Source organism: Homo sapiens, chromosome 11, assembly GCF_000001405.40.
Source record: "Homo sapiens chromosome 11, GRCh38.p14 Primary Assembly".
Taxonomy (NCBI): Eukaryota; Metazoa; Chordata; class Mammalia; order Primates; family Hominidae; genus Homo; species Homo sapiens.
The window spans coordinates 121,274,183-121,292,651 of NC_000011.10; the positions used below are offsets into that span (position 1 = coordinate 121,274,183).

The 18,469-nt window shown below is 40.3% G+C and overlaps 1 annotated feature.

The window, feature by feature from the left end:
- Positions 18,331 to 18,380: an enhancer, noted in NCBI's record as "active region_5642". NCBI's record gives its function as "activates an Ori minimal core promoter by ATAC-STARR-seq in GM12878 lymphoblastoid cells {active_cell/tissue: GM12878}" and the evidence as "EXISTENCE:reporter gene assay evidence [ECO:0000049][PMID:35858748]".

Genomic DNA, 18,469 nt, shown 5'->3' on the forward strand with positions numbered 1-18,469 from the left:
TGATGAAAGAAACTGAAGAAGACACAAATACAAGGAAAGTATCCTGTGTGGTGGATTGGAGGAATTGATATTGTTAAAATGTTTATATTACCCAGAACAATCTACAGATTTAATGTAATCCCTATTAAAATTCCAATGATTTTTTTTTTTTACAAAATTAGAAAAAAAATCCTAAAATTTGTATGGAACCACAAAAGACCCAGAACAGCAAAAGCAATCTTGACAAAGAACAAAGCTGGAAGCATTATACTTTCTGATTTCAAACTATAGTCATGCATCCATAACAATGGCGATAAGTTCTGAGAAATGTGTCATTAGGTGATTTTGTCATTGTGTAAACATCATAGAATGTTCTTAAACCTAGATGGTGTATCCTGTCTAGGCTATAAGGTATAACCCATTGCTCCAAGGCTACAAACCTGTACACCATATACACAGTATCGAATACTGGAGGCAACTGTAACACAATGGTATTTGTGTGTCTAAACATATCTAAACTAGAATACGTAGAGTAAAAATACAGTATAAATGATTAAAAAAAAAAAAGATACATCTCTACCACTGTCTAGGGCACTTACCACGAATGAAGTTTGCAAAACTGGAAGTTGCTCTGAGTGAGTCAGTGAGTGAGCAGTGAGTGAATGTGAAGGCCTAGGATATTACTGTACACCACTGTAGTCTTTATAAACACTGTGTACTTAGGCTACACTAAATTTTTAAAAATTTTATTTCTCCAATAATAAATTAACTTTAGCTTATTGTAACATTTTTACTTCACAAACTTTCAATTTTTTTAACTTTTTTTTTCAAATAGCTCCTGTCAACTTAAAAAAAATTTCCATAAGTTATTGGGGTACAGGTGGTATTTGGTTACATGAGTAAGTTCTTTAGTGGTGATTTGTGAGATTTTGGTGCATCCATCACCTGAGCAGTATACACTGCCCCATATTCGTAGTCTTTTACCTCTCGCCCCCTCCCACCCTACCCGTTAAGTCCCCAAAGTCCATTGTGTCATTCTTATGCCTTTGAGTCTTCATAGCTTAGCTAACCCATATCAGTGAGAACATAGGCTATTTGGTTTTCCATTCCTGAGTTACTTCACTTAAAATAATAGTCTCCAGTCTCATCCAGGTCACTGCAAATGCTGTTAATTCATTCCTTTTTCTGGCTTAGTAGTATTCCATCGATCATATATATACACACACGTATATATAAACTGTGATATATGTGTGTGTATATATGTATGTGTATATATACATATATATATATATATGTATATCACAGTTTCTTTATCCATTCATTGATTGATGGGCATTTGGGTTGGTTCCAAGATTTTGCAATTGTGAATTGTGCTGCTATAAACATGTGTGTGCAGGTATCTTTTTTGAATAATGACTTCTTTTCCTCTGTGTAGATACCCAGTAGTGGGATTGCTGAATCAAATGGTAGTTCTACTTTTAGTTCTTTAAGGAATCTCCACACTGTTTTCCATAGTGGCTGCATTAGTTTACATTCCCACCAGCACTGTAGAAATGTTCCCTGATCACTGCATCCATGCCAACATCTACTATTTTTTGATTTTTTTTATTATGGCCATTCTTGCAGGAGTAAGGTGGTATCCCATTGTGGTTTGGATTTGCATTTCCCTGATCATTAGTGATGCTGAGCATTTTTTCATATGTTTGTTGGCCATTTGCATATCTTCTTTTGAGAATTGTCTATTCATGTCCTTAGCCCACTTTTTGATGGGATTGTTTGTTTTTTTTCTTACTGATTTGTTTGAATTTGTTGTAGAATCTGGATATTAATCCTTTGTCAGATGTATAGATTGTGAAGATTTTCTCCCACTCTGTGGGTTGTCTGTTTACTCTGCTGACTGCTCCTTTTAACTTGCAAAAGCTCTTCAATTTAATTAGGTCCCAGCTAGTTATCTTTGTTTTTATTGCATTTGCTTTTGGGTTGTTAGTCATGAAATCCTTGCCTAAGCCAATGTCTAAAAGAGTTTTTCCAATGTTATCTTCTAGAATGCTTATAGTTTCAGGTCTTCAGTTTAAGTCCTTAATCCATCTTGAGTTGATTTTTGTATAAGGTGAGAGATGAGGATCCAGTTTCATTCTTCTACATATTGCTTGCCAATTATCCCATCAACATTTGTTGAAAAGGGTGTCCTTTCCCCACTTTATGTTTTTGTTTGCTTTGTCAAAGATCAGTTGGCTGTAACTATTTGGGTTTATTTCTGGCTTCTCTATTCTGTTCCATTGGTCTATGTGCCTATTTTTATACCAGTACCATGCTGTTTTGGTGACTCTGGCCTTATAACATAGTTTGAAATCAGGTAGTGTGATGCCTCCAGATTTATTCTTTTTGCTTAGTCTTCCTTTGGCTATGCGGGCTCTTTTTTGGTTCCATTTTAATTTTAGAATTGTTTTTTCTAACTCTGTGAAGAATGATGGTGGTATTTTGATGGAGATTGCATTGAATTTGTAGATTGCTTTTGGAAGTATGGTCATTTTCTCAATATTGATTCTACCCATCCATGAGCATGGGATGTGTTTTCATTTGTTTATGTCATCCTGTGATTTCTTTCAGCATTGTTTTGTAGTTTTCCTTGCAGAGGGCTTTCGACTCCTTTGTTAGGTACATTCCTAAGTATTTTATTTTCTTGCAGCTATTGTAAAAGGGGTTGAGTTATTGATTTGATTCTCTGCTTGGTCGCTGTTGGTGTATAGAAGAGCTACTGATTTATGTATATTAATCCTGTATCTGGAAACTTCGCTGAATTCTTTTATCAGTTCTAGGAGCTTTCTGGAGGAGTCCTTAGGGTTTTCAAGGTAAATGATCATACCGTCAGTAAACAGGGACAGTTTGACTTCCTCTTTATCAATTTGGATGCCCTTTATTTCTTTCTGTTGTCTGATTGCTCTGGCTAGGACTGCCAGTACTATGTTGAGGAGGAGTGGGCATCCTTGTCTTGTTCCTGTTCTCAGAGGGAATGCTTCAACTTTTCCCCATTCAGTATTATGTTGGCTGTGGGTTTGTCATAGATGGCTTTTATTACATTAAGTTATGTCCCTTGTATGCCGATTTTGTTGAGGGTTTTAATCAAAAGCAATGCTGGATTTTGTCAGATGCTTTTTCTGCATCTATTGAGATGATCATGTAATTTTTGTTTTGAAGTCAGTTTATGTGGTGTATCACATTTATTGACTTGCATATGTTAAACCATCCCTGCATCCCTAGTATGAAACCCACTTGATTGTAGTGAATTATCTTTTTGATATGTTGTTGGATTCAGTTAGCTAGTATTTTCTTAAGGATTTTAGCATCTATGTTCATCAAGGGTATCAGTCTGTAGTTTTCTTTTTCAGTTGTGTCCTTTCTTGGTTCTGGTATTAAGGTGATGCTGGCTTCATAAAAGGAATTAGGGGAGGGTTCCTTCTTTCTCTGTCTTTTGGAATAGGGTCAAAAGGATTGGTACCAATTCTTCTTTTAATGTCTGGTAGAATTCTGCTGTGAACCCATCCAGTTCTGGACTTTTTTTGTTGGTAATTTTTAAAGTATAATTTCAATCTCACTGCTTGTTACTGGTCTGTTCAGGGCATCTAATTCTTCCTGATTTAAGCAAGGAGGGTTGTATTTTTCCAAGAATTTATCCATCTCTTCTGGTTTTCCAGTTTATGTGTGCAAAGGTGTTCATAGTAGCCTTGAATGGTCTTTCGTATTTCAGTTGTGTCAGTTGTAATATCTCCTGTTTTGTTTCTTGGTGAGGTTATTTGGATTTTCTCTTTTCTTGGTTAATCTTGCTAATGGTCTATCAATTTTATTTATCTTTTCAAAGAACCAGCTTTTTGTTTCATTTACCTTTTGTATTTTTTTTTTTGTTTCAATTTCATTTAGTTCTGCTCTGATCTTGGCTATTTCCTTTATTCTGCTGGGTTTGGGTTTGGTTTGTTCTTGTTTCTCTAGTTCCTTGAAGGGTGACCTTAGATTGTCTGTTTGTGCTCTTTCAGACTTTTTGATGTAGGCATTTAGGGCTATGAACTTTCCTCTTAGCACTGCCTTAGCTATACCCCAGAGGTTTTGATAGGTTGTGTCATTATTGTCAATCACTTTGAAGAATTTTTAAATTTCCGTCCTGATTTTGTTTTTGACCCAATGCTCATTTGGGAGCAGGTTATTTAATTTCCATGTATTTGCATGGTTTTGAAGTTTCCTTTTTGAGTTGACTTCCAGTTTTATTCCACTGTGGTCTCAGAAAGTGCTTGATACAATTTCAATTTTCTTAAATTTATTGAGGCTCATTTTATGGTTTATCATATGGTATATCTTGGAGAAAGTTCCATGTGCTGTTGAATATAATGTATATTTTGCAGTTGTTGGATGAAATGTTCTGTGTATATCTGTTATGTCCATTTGTTCCAAGGTATAGTTTAAATCCATTGTTTCTTTGTTGACTTTCTGTCTTGATGACTTGTCTAATGCTGTCAGTGGAGTACTGAAGTCCCCTACTATTACTGTGTTGCCGTCTGTCTCATTTCTTAGGTCTATTAGTAACTGTTTTACAAATTTGGGAGCTCCAGGGTTAGGTGTATATATGTTTAGGATTGTGATATTTTCCTGTTGGACAAGGCCTTTTACCATTAGATAACCTCCTTCCTCCTTCTTTGTCTCTTTTAACCACTATTGCTTTAAAGTTTGTTTTGTCTGGTGTAAGAATAGCTACCTCTGCTCACTTTTGGTGTCCATTTGCATGAAATGCCTTTTTCCACCCCTTTACTTTAAGTTTACCTGAGTCCTTCTGTGTTAGGTGAGTCTCCTGAAGGCAGCAGATGGTTGGTGAGTTCTAATCTATTCTGTGTTTCTGTAACTTTTAAGTGAAGCATTTAGGCCATTTACATTCAATGTTAGTGTTGAGATGTGAGGTACCATTGCATTCATCATGGTCTCTGTTGCCTGTGTACTTTGTTTTGTTTTTTTGTTTTTTGTTTTTGCTTTTTAACTTGTATTTTTGTTGTATAGGTCCTGTGTGATTTATGCTTTAAAGAAGTTCTGTTTTGATGTATTTCCAGGATTTGTTTCAAGATTTAGAGCTCCTTTTAGTAGTTCTTGTAGTGGTGAGATCTCAGCATTTGTTTGTCTGAAAACGACAGTGTCTCTCTTTCATATATGATGCTTAGTTTCATTGGATACAAAATTCTTGGCTAATAATTGTTTTGATTGAGGAGGCTGAAGATAGGGCCCCAATCCCTTCTAGCTCGTAGGGTTTCTGCTGATAAATCTGCATTAATCTGATAGGTTTTCCTTTATAGGTCACCTGGTGCTTCTGTCTCACAGCTCTTAAGATTCTTTCCTTCATTTTAACTTTGGATAACCTGATGACAATGTGCTTAGGTGAAGATCTTTTTGTGATGAATTTCCCAGCTGTTCTTTGTGTTTCTTGTATTTGCATGTCTAGGTCTCTAGCAAGGTGGGGGAAGTTTTCCTCGATTATTCCTCCAAATACATTTTCCAAGCTTTTAGAACTGTCTTCTTCCTCAGTAACACCAACTACCCTTAGATTGGTCATTTAACATAATCCCAGACTTCTTGGAGGCTTTGTTCTTTTTTTCTTATTCTTTTTTCTTTGTCTTTGTTGGATTGGGTTAAGTCAAAGACCTTGTCTTTGAGCCCTGAATTTCTTTCTTCTACTTGCTCGATTCTATTGCTGAGACTTTCCAGAGCATTCGCATTTCTGAAAGTGTGTCCAAAGTTTCCTAAATTTTTTATTATTTTTCTTCTTTCTGTTTTTTGTTTTTGTTTTTGTTTTTTTGTTTTGTTTTGTTTTTGATGGAGTCTCTCTTTGTTGCCCAGGCTGGGGTGCAATGGTGCAATCTCACCTCATTGCAAACTCTACCTCCCGGGTTCAAGCAATTCTCTTGCCTCGGCCTTCTGAGTAGCTGGGACTACATGTATTCATCACCATGCCTGGCTAATTTTTGTATTTTTAGTAGAGATGGGGTTTCACCAAGTTGGCCAGGCTGGTTTTGAACTCCTGTCCTCAGATGATCTGCCCTCCTCAATCTCCCAAACTGCTGAGATTACAGGCATAAGCCACTAATTGTTTCTTCTTTAAGCTTTCTATTTCCTTGAGTATTTCCCCCTTCACTTCTTGTATCATTTTTTGTATTTCTTTGGATTGGGCTACACTTTTCTCTAGTCTGTCCCTGATTATCTTAATAACTAACCTCCTGGATTCTTTTTCAGGTAAATCAGGGATTTCTTCTTGGTTTGGATCCATTGCTGGTGAACTAGTGTGATTGTTGTGGGGTGTTGATGAGCCTTGTTCTGTCATATTACCAGGGTTTGTTTTCTGGTTCCTTCTCATTTGGGTAGCCTCTGTCAGAGGGAAGGTCTAGCACTGAGGCTGTTGTTCAGATTTTTTTTGTTCCATGGGGTGTTCTCTTGATGTAGTACTTTCCCCCTTTTCCTGTGGATGTAGCTTCCTGTGAGCTGAACTGCAGTGATTGTTGTCTCTCTTCTGGGTCTAGCCACCCAGTGAGTCTACCCAGCTCCAGTCTGGTACTGCATGTTGTCTGCACAGAGTCCTGTGATGTGAAGTGTCTATGGGCCTCTCAGCCATGAATACCAGTGCCTCTTCCAATGGAGGTGGTGGAGAGTGCGATGGACTCCATGAGGTCCTTAGCTTTGGTGGTTTAATGCTCTGTTTTTGTGCTGGTTGGCCTCCTGCCAGAAGGTGGCACTTCCCAGAAAGCATCAGCTGTAGTAGTGTGGCAAGGGACTGGCAGTGGGTGGTGTTGGGAAAAGCTGAGGCAGGGCTTGTATGTCTGACATAATGTAAAAGAGTCTTGGAACATGTCCTGGGCCCAGGATCTAAAACCCCTCGTGGCCTTTGGAACATCAGGCTCTGTGCTAAAGGGTGGAAGGCTGCCCTGCCGTACCAAAATCTAAGCCCAGGGCATAAAACCCCTCGTAGCTTGGATGGAATCCAGGGCTCAGAGCATGAAAGCCCTCGTGGCCTCTGGAATGTGTCTAGGCTTGCTGGCTCCTTGCTTCTAGCAATCCCAGGCTCATGGATGGATTGTATCTCAAACTAGAAGGACAAGTTCCCCATTATCTCAAGTAGCAGAACATGTTCCATATGCTTCAAAGGGAATGCTAAACCGTCACAGCTATAGCTCATACGCTTGACGCACCGCTACCTTTCAACCCCCACATCTTCACCACCTGCTTCTTTGTTTGATCACCAATAAATAGTGTGTGCTTCCAGAGCTCGGGGACTTCGCAGCCTCCATAGTAGCGTTCACTCCCTGGAGCCACTTTATGTACTCTTAACTTGTCTTGTCTCATTCCTTTGACTATGCCAGACTTTGTAGCCCCCACGGCCTGGTGTTGGGTCTGGCTGCCCCAACAGGTGGGGTGCTAGAACTCCCAAGTTTGTATGCCTTTGTCTTCCCCTACCAGGGTGGGTAGGGAGGAACCAACAGGTGCGGGTGGGTCTAGGTGTGTCTGAGCTCAGACTCTCCTTGGGTGGGTCTTGCTACGGCTGCTGTGCGGGATAGGGGTGAGATTCCCATGTCACTGGAGTTGTGTACCTAGGAGGATTATGGCTGTCTCTGCTGAGTCACGCAGGTTGTCAGGGAAGTGGGGGAAAGCCAGCAGTCACAGGCCTCACCCAGCTCCCATGCAAATTGAAGGGCTGGTCTCCCACTTCAAACAGCCCTGAGTCTGTTTGCAGGCAGAGGGCAAGATGGGCTTGAAAACTTGCCCAAGGCTTTCTGACTCCCAGCTTCAGCTTCTTCAGTAGGGGTGTGTGTTCCGGAGAGGAGGGTCTCCCTTTCCCACTTCCACGGTTGGGGCACTCAGTATTTGGGGTGTCTCCTGGGTACTGCAGGAGCAGTCTGCTTCCTTCAGAGGGTCTGTGGGTTCTCTCAGAATTGCTGGTTTGTTCATGCAGTCGATTTAAAGCTGTGCCACAGAAGGACTCCCCAGCGCCTATTCCCTGAATCATCCTCCTCTTCCTTTCCTCTTTCTCTCTCTCTCTTCCTCAGTCTGCTGGGCACTCACAGCACTGGTTTTTTTTTGTTGTTGTTTTGTTTTTATGTTTTGACTTTTGTAATAACACTTAGCTTAAAACATCAACGCATTGTGTAACTGTCTAACAATCCTTTATTTCTTTATATTCTCAATCTAAAACCATTTTTATTTTTATTTTTTCATTTTTTACTTTTAAAACTTTTGTTAAAAACGAAGAAACAAACTTAAACATTAGCCTAGACCTATACAGGGTCAGGATTGTTGGAGGCTGAAGTAATGAGGGTAGTGATCAACTCAGTATACCACTGGAGGCCATACGAGTAAGCAGCAAACTGTTTTTCATAAAAGCAGAATGTTGGCAAACTGACAAACTGTATGCCACCCAGAAGGACTGCTGAGGGCAGTCATGATCCAGGCTCAAATGTTTCTTATGATTAGGCATAACTGAAGCCTGTCAGTAACAATATGAACCTGTGATCAGTTAAGCAGCTGACCGATCATTACCTCCTCCTCACTGCCCTTGTTACCCAATAAATACGAAGGGCTATAGAAGTTGGTGGGCTGCCTTTGCTCACTAGAAGCGGGGAGCTCTCTTCTTCTTCCCCTGTCCCTTTCCTTAAAACGGTTTCTTTTTTTTTTTGTTACCATTTCTACGTTCATCCCTTCATTCGGTTTCGAGTAGTAACTGCTGTAAAGATGGTTTCAAGTAGTAGCAGTGATAGTCAGCCACTGAAGGGACTATCAAGGAGAAAAAGAGACCTAGAGACCTGAAGGGGCCTGAAGAGGCCTGCAGGGACAAGTAGAGATAAGTAGAAATAAGTAAATAGAGATAAGTAAATTAAGTAGAGATAAGTAGAGAAAAGTAAGTAGAGATAGGTAGGGGAAGACAGGAACTTGCAGGAACTAACAGGTACCATAGGGACAGATAGGGATAGATAAAGGCTAGCAATATAAGGTCAGTGCCCTAAAGAGGTACAAAAGTAGAAGCTAGAAGAGGCCAGCAAAAACTCTCAGGGACAGATGGGGTCCTATAGGGACTTGAACAAGGAAGTTCTGCTGCAACAGAAACTAAAACCAACCAGACAAATGAGAAACCCTGTTAACAAGTCTGCCGGAAGCAACGTAAGATCAGTACTCTGAAAAGGTAATGGTCAGTGCCCTAGAGGTACAAAGAATGGGAAGTTTTTGAATCAGGGTAACATGGAGAAGAATTTGGTTATGTTTTTTCTCTTTTTTTTTTGTTGGGAGTTTGGTACATACCATATTATTTCAGGGTTTGAGAAAAATTTTTGCCCCACCTACAGCGCCTGTCAAAAGTGGTGAACAGGAGAGGGAGAATGAGAATTGGCTTGTACCATCTTCTGTGGCTACGGAAAGGCTAACTTTAGCTTTGGCTTTTGTGGATTGTAAACATGCATTGGCACCTGTGAGGTGTGCCGAGGACTTAGGAGGTTTTCTCGGAGCCTGTCAGGATGTGGGAACTGAGCTTCATTGCTCTGCAGTGTTGGCTCGGGCAATGGCTAATTTGGTAGCTGACAGATCTAAAGGAAGCCAAGGGTCAAGCCCTAAAGTGGGAAAGTGTTATAAGTGTAGAAAAATTGGACGTTTTGGAAAAGAACACCGCCAGACCTCTGGGCAGAAGGGATTTTATAATGCAGTTCCCCCTCAAGAGAAAAAAATGCCAGGACTTTGCCCTCGTTGTAATAAAGGAAATCATTGGGCTAATGAATGCCGCTCAAAATTTCATCAGAACGGCACCCCGCTGTCGGGAAACAAGAAGGGGGCCTGGACCTGGACACCTCAAACTATGAGGGCATTCCCCATCCAGGCCACCACTCCGTCTCAGGGGTGGGTTTACAGAGGCACATTGATTCCCTCTCCCAGGAACACCTGGAAACAGGATTAGATCTCCTAGAGAGCAAATTACATTAATTGAAAGAAACAAACTCACTAAGATTCCCATTGGTATTTGGGGACCTTTGCCAACAGGATACATAGGATTCATTTCGGGTAAAGGTCATGTTAACTTAGAGGGCATTACTGTAATCCTAGGAGTTGATTTTGATTGTGAAGGAGAAATTCGGGTAGTGGTAATGTCACAAAATCCTTGGGTTTTTGAAACGGGAGAATGTATTCCTCAACTGTTGCTTATTCCCTGTAAATTGCACCTCTCTCTATGAGAGGAGAAATGAAGGAATCAGGGATTTGGAAGTACAACTACATGGGAAATTTATCTATCACGACCCATAGCATCTCACAGACCCACTTGTGCAGTGTAAATTGTAGAAAAGATTTGTGGGCTTATGGAAACGGGAGCAAGAAACTGGTTTCTCGTGGTAATAGATCTTGAGGATTGTTTACGAGAAGGATAAGCCTCCATTTGCTTTCTCTGTCCTTCTGTTAATCAGAAAGAGCCTGTTTTTCATTATCAGTGGAAAGTTTTACCCTGCAGCAGTTAACCAAAGAGGCAGAGGCTGAGTTGCAGCTTGTAGAGCAGATGCTTCGGCAGTGGCATGCCTTGCAGCTACAACCACAAAAACTCTGGCTTCTGTTTTGGTAGATTTACTAACATGGGGACGAGGGTATGCTTGTGTTTCTGCAGGAGATGAACAAGCCATGTGGGTGCCCTCAAGGTGTGTGCGACCATGGAACGGGAGACTGGAGGGGACCCATGGATTCCAACTACAGGCCTGGTTCCCCCAGTACGAGCCATGAGCCAGTTGAATCTGAATGCAAAGATGGAACGAGGACCGACCAGAGTCACGCTTACATTAACCCCCATAATATAGGGACCGATCTAGAAAACCACACAAGAAGCTGAGAAACTGCTGGAGGGCCAGGATTTCACCTTTTACTGGAACTCAGAGGTACAATTGATGCTTAATGGACGAATGCTTTCTGACTGAGCTCTCTACCCTGAATACAAGAGACCCTAATAGTTAGGCAGGAATAGTTAGGCACACCCCTATTAAGCATGAAGAAGTTGCAGAAGATGGACCTTCATCCTTCTGCAACCCTTAGGATTAAGGTCCTCTTGTAAAAAGGAAGAGGGAAATATGTAAGGAACATTCAAACCAGAGCAACTCCATTATGAATAAGGGCTAAGAAAAATGAAGCCAGATCACCAACCTGCAATTGAGGGCTGCACAGCCTGCAATTGCGTTGCTCAATTAATTTAAAAACAAAAAGCAGGAGATATAGCAGGCCGAAAGAATGAGGGTTGTGATCAACTCAGTATACCACTGGAGGCTAAATGAGTGAGCAGCAAACTGTTTTTCATAAATGCAGAATGTTGACAAACTGACAAACTGTGTATGCCACCCAGAAGGGACTGCTGAGGGTAGTCACCGTCCAGGCACAAATGTTTCTTGTGATTAGGCATAATTGAAGCCTGTCAGTAACAATATGAACCTGTGATCAATTAAGCAGCTGACTAATCATTACCTCCTCCTCCCTGCTCTTGTTACCCAATAAATACGAAGGGGTGTAGAAGGTCGTGGGCTGCCTTTGCTCACTAGAAGCAGGGCGCTCTCTTGTTCCCCTGGCCCTTTCCTTAAAACAGTTTCTTTTGTTTCTGTTACTATTTTTATGTTTATCCCTTCCTTCATAATAATAGTCTCAAGTAGTAACAGTAGTAACTGCTGTAATGATGATCCCAAGCAGTAACAGTAGTGACTGCTGTAATGACAGTCTCAAGTAGTAGCAGTGGCAGTCAGCCACGCAGGATCATCAATATCACTGTCTTCCACCTCCACATTTTGTCCCTCTGTAAGATCTTCAGAGGCAGTAACATACATGGAGCTGTCATCTATGATAACATTGTCTTCTTCTGGAATGCCTCCTGAAGGACCTGCCTGAAACTTTTTTACAGTTAACTTAAAAAAAATAAATAGGAGTACATTCTACAATAGCAGTAAAAAGTATACTATAGTAAATACATAAACCAGTTAATAGTAATTTATTATCAAGTATTATTTACTGTACATAATTGTATGTACTCTAGACTTTTATTATAGGACTGGCAGCACAGTAGGTTTGTTTATATCAGCATCATAAGCACATGAGTAACGTGTTGTGCTATGACGTTAATAACAGCTATAACATCACTAGGTGATAGGAATTTTTCAGCTCCATTTCAATCATATATGTGGTCTGTCATATGGGCATATGGCTGTATATTACAAAGTTATAGTAGTCAAAACTGCATGGTACTAGCATAAAAACAGACATATAGACCAATGGAACAGAAGAGAACCCATAAACAAACACATACATAAATAGTTGACTTATTTATTTATTTTTTTGGAGACAGAGTCTTGATCTGTCACCCAGGCTGGAGTGCAGTGGTGCAATCTCGGCTCACTGCAACCTCTGCTGCCCAGGCTCAAGCAATTCTCCCACCTTAGCCTCTTGAGTAGCTGGGACTACAGGCATGCACCACCAAGCCCAGCTAATTTTTTTATATTTTTAGTAGAGACAGGGTTTCACCATGTTGACCAGGCTGGTCTCAAACTCCTGACCTCAAGTGATCCGCCCACCTCAGCCTCCCAAAGTGCTAGGATTACAGGTGTGAGCCACCGCACCTTGCCAGCAACTTACCTTTGACAAGGGTGCTAAGAAAACAATGGGGAAAGGACAGCCTCCTTAATAAATGGTGCTGGGAAGACTGGATATTCTCATGCAAAAGAATGAAACTGAACCCTTATCCACCACACAAAAAGTAACACAGAATAAAGACTTAGATGTAAGACCTAATATCATAAATCTCCTAGAAGAAAGCATAGGGAAAAGCCGTTTGACATTGGTCTTGTAAATGATTTTTGGATATGACACCAAAAACACAGGCAACAAAATGAAAAAAAAAGTGGGACTACATCAAACTAAAAAGCTTCTTCACATCAAAGGAAGCAGTTAACAAAATGAAATGGCAACCTACAGAATGGGAGAAAATATTTGCAAACCGTATGTCTGATAAAGGCTTAATATCCAAAATATATAAGAAACTGTCTTAGCCCCTCTGGGCTGCTATAAGGTGTCTAAGATGCCACCAGATTTGGTGTCTGGTAAGGGCTTGCGTCCTTACAGATGGCTGTCTTCTCACTGTAAACTCACATGGCAGCAGGGCAAGGGATCTCTGGGGTCTCTTTTATAAGGGCACTACTACAACTTATGACCGCTTCATCTTCATAACCTCAACACTCCCCAAAGGCCCACCTCCTAGTAACATCACTTTGGCAGCTTAGATTTCAACATATGAATTTGGGGGAGACATAAACATTCAGTTCATTGTAGAACTCGTACAATTCAATAGCAAAACAAACTAAAAGCAGCCAAATAGCCCAGGTGAGAAATGGGCAAAGGATGTGAACATTTTCCCAGAGAAGACATGCAAATGGTACAAATGGCCAACAGGTATATGAAAAGGTGCTCAGCATCATTAATCATTAGGGAAATGCAAATCAAAGCCATAGTGAGACATTACTTCACACCTATTTAGATGGCTATGATAGAATAGGTGAAAGATGACAAGTGTTGGGGAGGGTGTGGAGAAAAGGAAGCCCTTGTATACTGTTGGTGGGAATGTTAATTAGTACAACCATTATGGAAAACAATATGGAGGTTCCTAAAAAAATTAAAAATAGAACTACAATATGATCCGGCAATCCCAATACTGGGTATTATATCCACAGGAAATGAAATCAGTATGCTGAAAAGATACTCTGTGCTTCCATGTTTATTGCAGCATATTCATAGTAACCAAGATATGGAAACCACCTAAGTGTCTGACAATGGCTATTTTTATTAGCACTCATTTTCTTGATTTTCATAGAAAATTATTTCTTTGCAGACTCAAATTTTATCAGTTCATGCAATTCAATTAAATTATATACGTATGAGGCATACAATGGAAATGAAGTTTGGGAACAAACATAACTGACTCTTGGGGAGTATTCCACTCAGCTAGTGGAAGCAGATGTGGAGGAGTAAACTAAAGTGAAGGCTACTAGCTATGAGTCTTCAGTATTTTATGAGAATCAGTTGGCATATTTCAGAAAGGGAATCAAGAATATTAAGTAGATGGTTAGAAAAACTACTGTATGCACATATGTATTTTCTGGGGACAGAGTCCATAGATGTCATTTAATTTTTGGAGGGATCTATGATCACTAAAATGTTAAGTACTGTTAACTTAAAAATTATACAATTTATAAATTTAAGAAAGGAGAGAAGAATTTATTTCTTATAAAGTGTTGCAGCCTGCAAGGTGACCAACCCACAGGCTGGGAAGTGTGCCTCCAGCCGAGACCAGAGATAGGCACTTTGAAGAAGGAGGGGCTGGAGTAGGAGCTTTATGCTGAACAGGTTGGCTAAACATGCATGTTTTACAGGAGGAGCTATGAATATTCATGAAGCTGATCCTGACATGCATATTGAACAAACATGCATGTAACATATGACCATGTTCACTTTAGGATGGAGAGTTAACATTTAAATATATTACAATTAGGCCCTATATGTCAAAATGTTTTTTCAGGACATGAAGGCATATAGATGTGCAACTTCTGTAAACTGATCAGAACCAGCCCATGGGTCAGTGGTATTCTTATCAGGAGAAAGTTATTAAAACCAGTCTTTATCCAATGAAAGCCGTAGTTGTGGCTTGTGGAATAGGGGGTCAGTTAGCGTCTGGTGGAGCTGCAAATTGTTTTAATATTGCTTATCTGAAGGCCAGTGTTTGTTTAGCTGCTAGAGAAAAAGAAAAATCTTGTGACAGTTAGAACATAGTTTATTCTTTACGTGTAGGGTACATGACTTAACCCTCGCCTGGCACGACCTTAGGTCCTATTTATAATTTGGTATTGTATCGCCACAAAGAATCTGTTCTGCCAGTTTTATGATTTCTGTTTTAACATCAATGCCGGTCAGTCGTGTCTAAAAAGGGAGGGGGTATAATGAGGCCTGTCTGACCTCATCTCATCATGGCTGGGAACTAAGTTTTTAAGGCTTTTCTGGAATCCCTTTGGCCAAGAGGTGGTCTGTTCAGTCTGCTGGGGGGTTTAAGATTTTATTTGTAGTTTAAAGTATCATACTATAAATTAAAATAGAATCCATGGGGCCAGGTTAAGGAATAAACACTTTCTCTTCCTGTAATCTACTTTTGGACACTTGTGCATCCACCTTTTTCATGAAGATTCTCTTCTCCCTAAAAAATAAATTCATGCAAACAGATGCTTGTGAGCCAGTGGCCCAACGAGTTCATCAGAAACATTCACTCTAAATAGCTTGGTGCCTAGTGTTCTTAGTACAGTCCAGTGTGATGTAATGAAGAGAGGTTGATACATTACTGATGCATTCAGTGACAACATTTCATTAAGAAGGCTGTTCTGTTTTACACATCTGAAAACCAGTTAGAAAGTGACATGATTTGGATGTTTCCTCCCCTCCAAATCACGTGGTGAAATGCGACCTCCAATGTTGGAGGTGGACTGAGTGGGAGGTGTTTGGGTGTTGGGGGCAGATCCCTCATGAATGTCCTGGTGCTGTCCTCACAGTAAAGTGAGTTCTCACTCTATGAGTTCACATGAGATCTGGCTGTTTAAAAGAGCCTGAGTTTAAAAGAGAGAGCCTCCTCCCTCTCTCTTGCTCCCTCTCTTCATGCGATAGGCCTGCTCCCCCTTTGCCTTCCACCAGGATTGTAAGCTTCCTGAGGTCCTCTCACCAGAACCAGATACCAGCACCACACTTCCTGTACAGCCTGCAAAACTGTGAGCCAAAATAAACCTCTTTTCTTTGTAAATTACCCAGTATCAGGTATTCCTTTATAGCAATGCAAACGGACGAATGCAGAAAGAAAGGGTCTTCATTTCCTAACTTCAGAAACTACAGTCTTTGTAGTTTCCTTTGTAGTACCTTTGTAAAGACAAAGGTCTTTAAACAGTTTAGTGCTTAGTGTTCTCATTAAAGTATAATGTTATATAATGAACGTGGGCTGATAAATTATTGATGCATTGAAAGGCAACATTTCATTGAAAAAAATTCAAACTCAATCTCAGTTTAGAATCTTCCAAGTGAATGAGGACTTCTAACTCTGTTCAGGTCAAATGTAGCCCTCTCAGAGAAACTGACTGACCATGCTGTCTGAAGTTAACAGCTTCCGTTAATTTTGATTCTCTTACCCCATTTTCTTTTTCTTCATAGCACTGTCCGACATTGTATTATATATCTATTTATTTATTATCAGTTTTCTGTCTCCTTACTAGTGTGTAAGCTTCATTAGAGCAGACTTTGTTTTGATTATCAGTATATCTCCTGTGCATATGACAGTGCCTGACACTTATCACCATTACATAATGATTTATTGAGTAAATAAATTGAGTAATTTAATGATTAAATGGTTTGTTTCCATGTTCATGTTCCATCCAGACACATAGGCAGGTATTGTGGCTTATCTCTGAATTCCTTGGTACTGGCTGGTTGGTACCATAGACCCTTGCAAACAATGAATAAATAAATTACCCTGATCCATCAGTGTGCCTGGATAGAAAAGACATGTAGGAATGCTGCACCCCAGGATGTGCTATTAATACACTTATACACCACGGAATACTATGCAGCCATAAAAAAAAGAATGAGTTCATGTCTTTTGCAGGGACATGGATGAAGCCGGAAGCCATCATTCTCAGCAAAATAACACAGAACAAAAAACCAAACACCACATATTCTCATTGAGTATGTGGGAGTTGTTCAACTGTGGGAGTTGAACAATGAGAACACATGGACACAGGGAGGGAAACATCACACACCGGGGCCTGTCAGGGGGTGGAGGGCAAGGGGAGGGAGAACATTAGGACAAATAACTAATGCATGCAGGGCTTAAAACCTAGATGACGGGTTGGAAGGTGCAGCAAGCCACCATGGCACATGTATACCTATGTAACAAACCTGCACGTTCTGCACATGTATCCCAGAACTTAAATAATAATTAAAAAATACACTTAAATTTATTTTTAAACAAGATTGTTCTCTTGAGGTTAACTTATTACTACTTTGAGTTGTCAGGAGTGATTGCAAATTTCTTGGGAATCCCTAAGTCACCAAGAATAAAGACCACTTGTAATAGCTAAGGCATATTCAACAATAAAATTCTAGAGATTCAGGATATTTGATGTTTGCTTATAACATTTCACTTTTGAGCTTTTATTCGTTTAATAAATGTTTTATCATCTATGCTCAATAACATTTTAAAGTGTCCATTCAAATCATTTCATTGGGCAAAACAATGTTCCTTCCCTAATTTCCCTCATCAGAATAGCCATTTTGTCTCTGTGCTCAGCCTATACCACCAATTACTGTTTATTTCCTGTCCTTGTAATAAGCAACATAGTTATTTATACATGCCCATTTCTCCCACAGCACATAAGCTTTTTAAGGTTGGGAACCATGTCTTTGTCATTATTGTAACATCTCTTTCCATTCCCGGTGTTCAGTACGATGTGTTAAACGAAGTAGACACTCAAAACTTTTTAAAATTTATTTTTATTTATATAATGAGTCTTTTTTAAAAAAACCACCTACACTATTTTAAATTCATTTGAACTTTGTCCAGTATCCTATGTACATTTGAAGTTTAACTACCGGAAAAGTCTTTTGAAGGCAGATCGAATCATGTTATTTTTTTCCCTTAAAAATCCCTCATTTCTGTCATGTATTCCCCATATTATTTATGTAATAGGTAAAGTGGCCCAGTTTGCCACTTTGAAGTTGCTGAGCTGGTATCACAAGTCAGTCCCCTCTGTTTTAATCTCTGTTTAAGGAAAGTCACTCTGAAACGACAGATCTTTTGGTTCCTTATTTCTGCTTTCCTCCGTCCTCTTCTGCCTGTGAAGCCACCCTCCTCTGCTCAGCTCTGTTTCAGGAAATCGGAGCTGCTCGATTCATGTGTAGCAAATCAAAGCCAATTAGATCTGCGTTAACCTTGGTTTTCAACAACTTGTATCGTGAAAAGGTTTCTGTCCATGTTTACCCTCATCTTGTCACCATTTAGACCCCTACATACACCGGCTCGCGGAGCCTCCAGCCATTCAGCGCTAGAAAATCGGGGGGACTACGTCTTAAAACCTTGAGCACCTGTTTGGGAACATCTGCACCTCCTCCCTTGAGGGAGAAAACGACCCAGACATTCGCGTCAAAGGAAGTGTCGTCTATTTCCCTCAACGCAGGGCACCCGTTCTAGGAATGTTTGTATAAACACCGTAAACCTGCCTGGTACCACCATGAATGACACAAGAGCTAGTTTAAAAAGAAAGCAAAGAAACAAACGCAAAACCCGAAACCGCATCCTCCACCGCAAAGGTACTCGGATGGGGCGCCCGCCCTCCCCTTAGTCAGAGGACAAAGGGGGCGTGGCCGAGCGCGCGGCGCCCACGTGACCGCG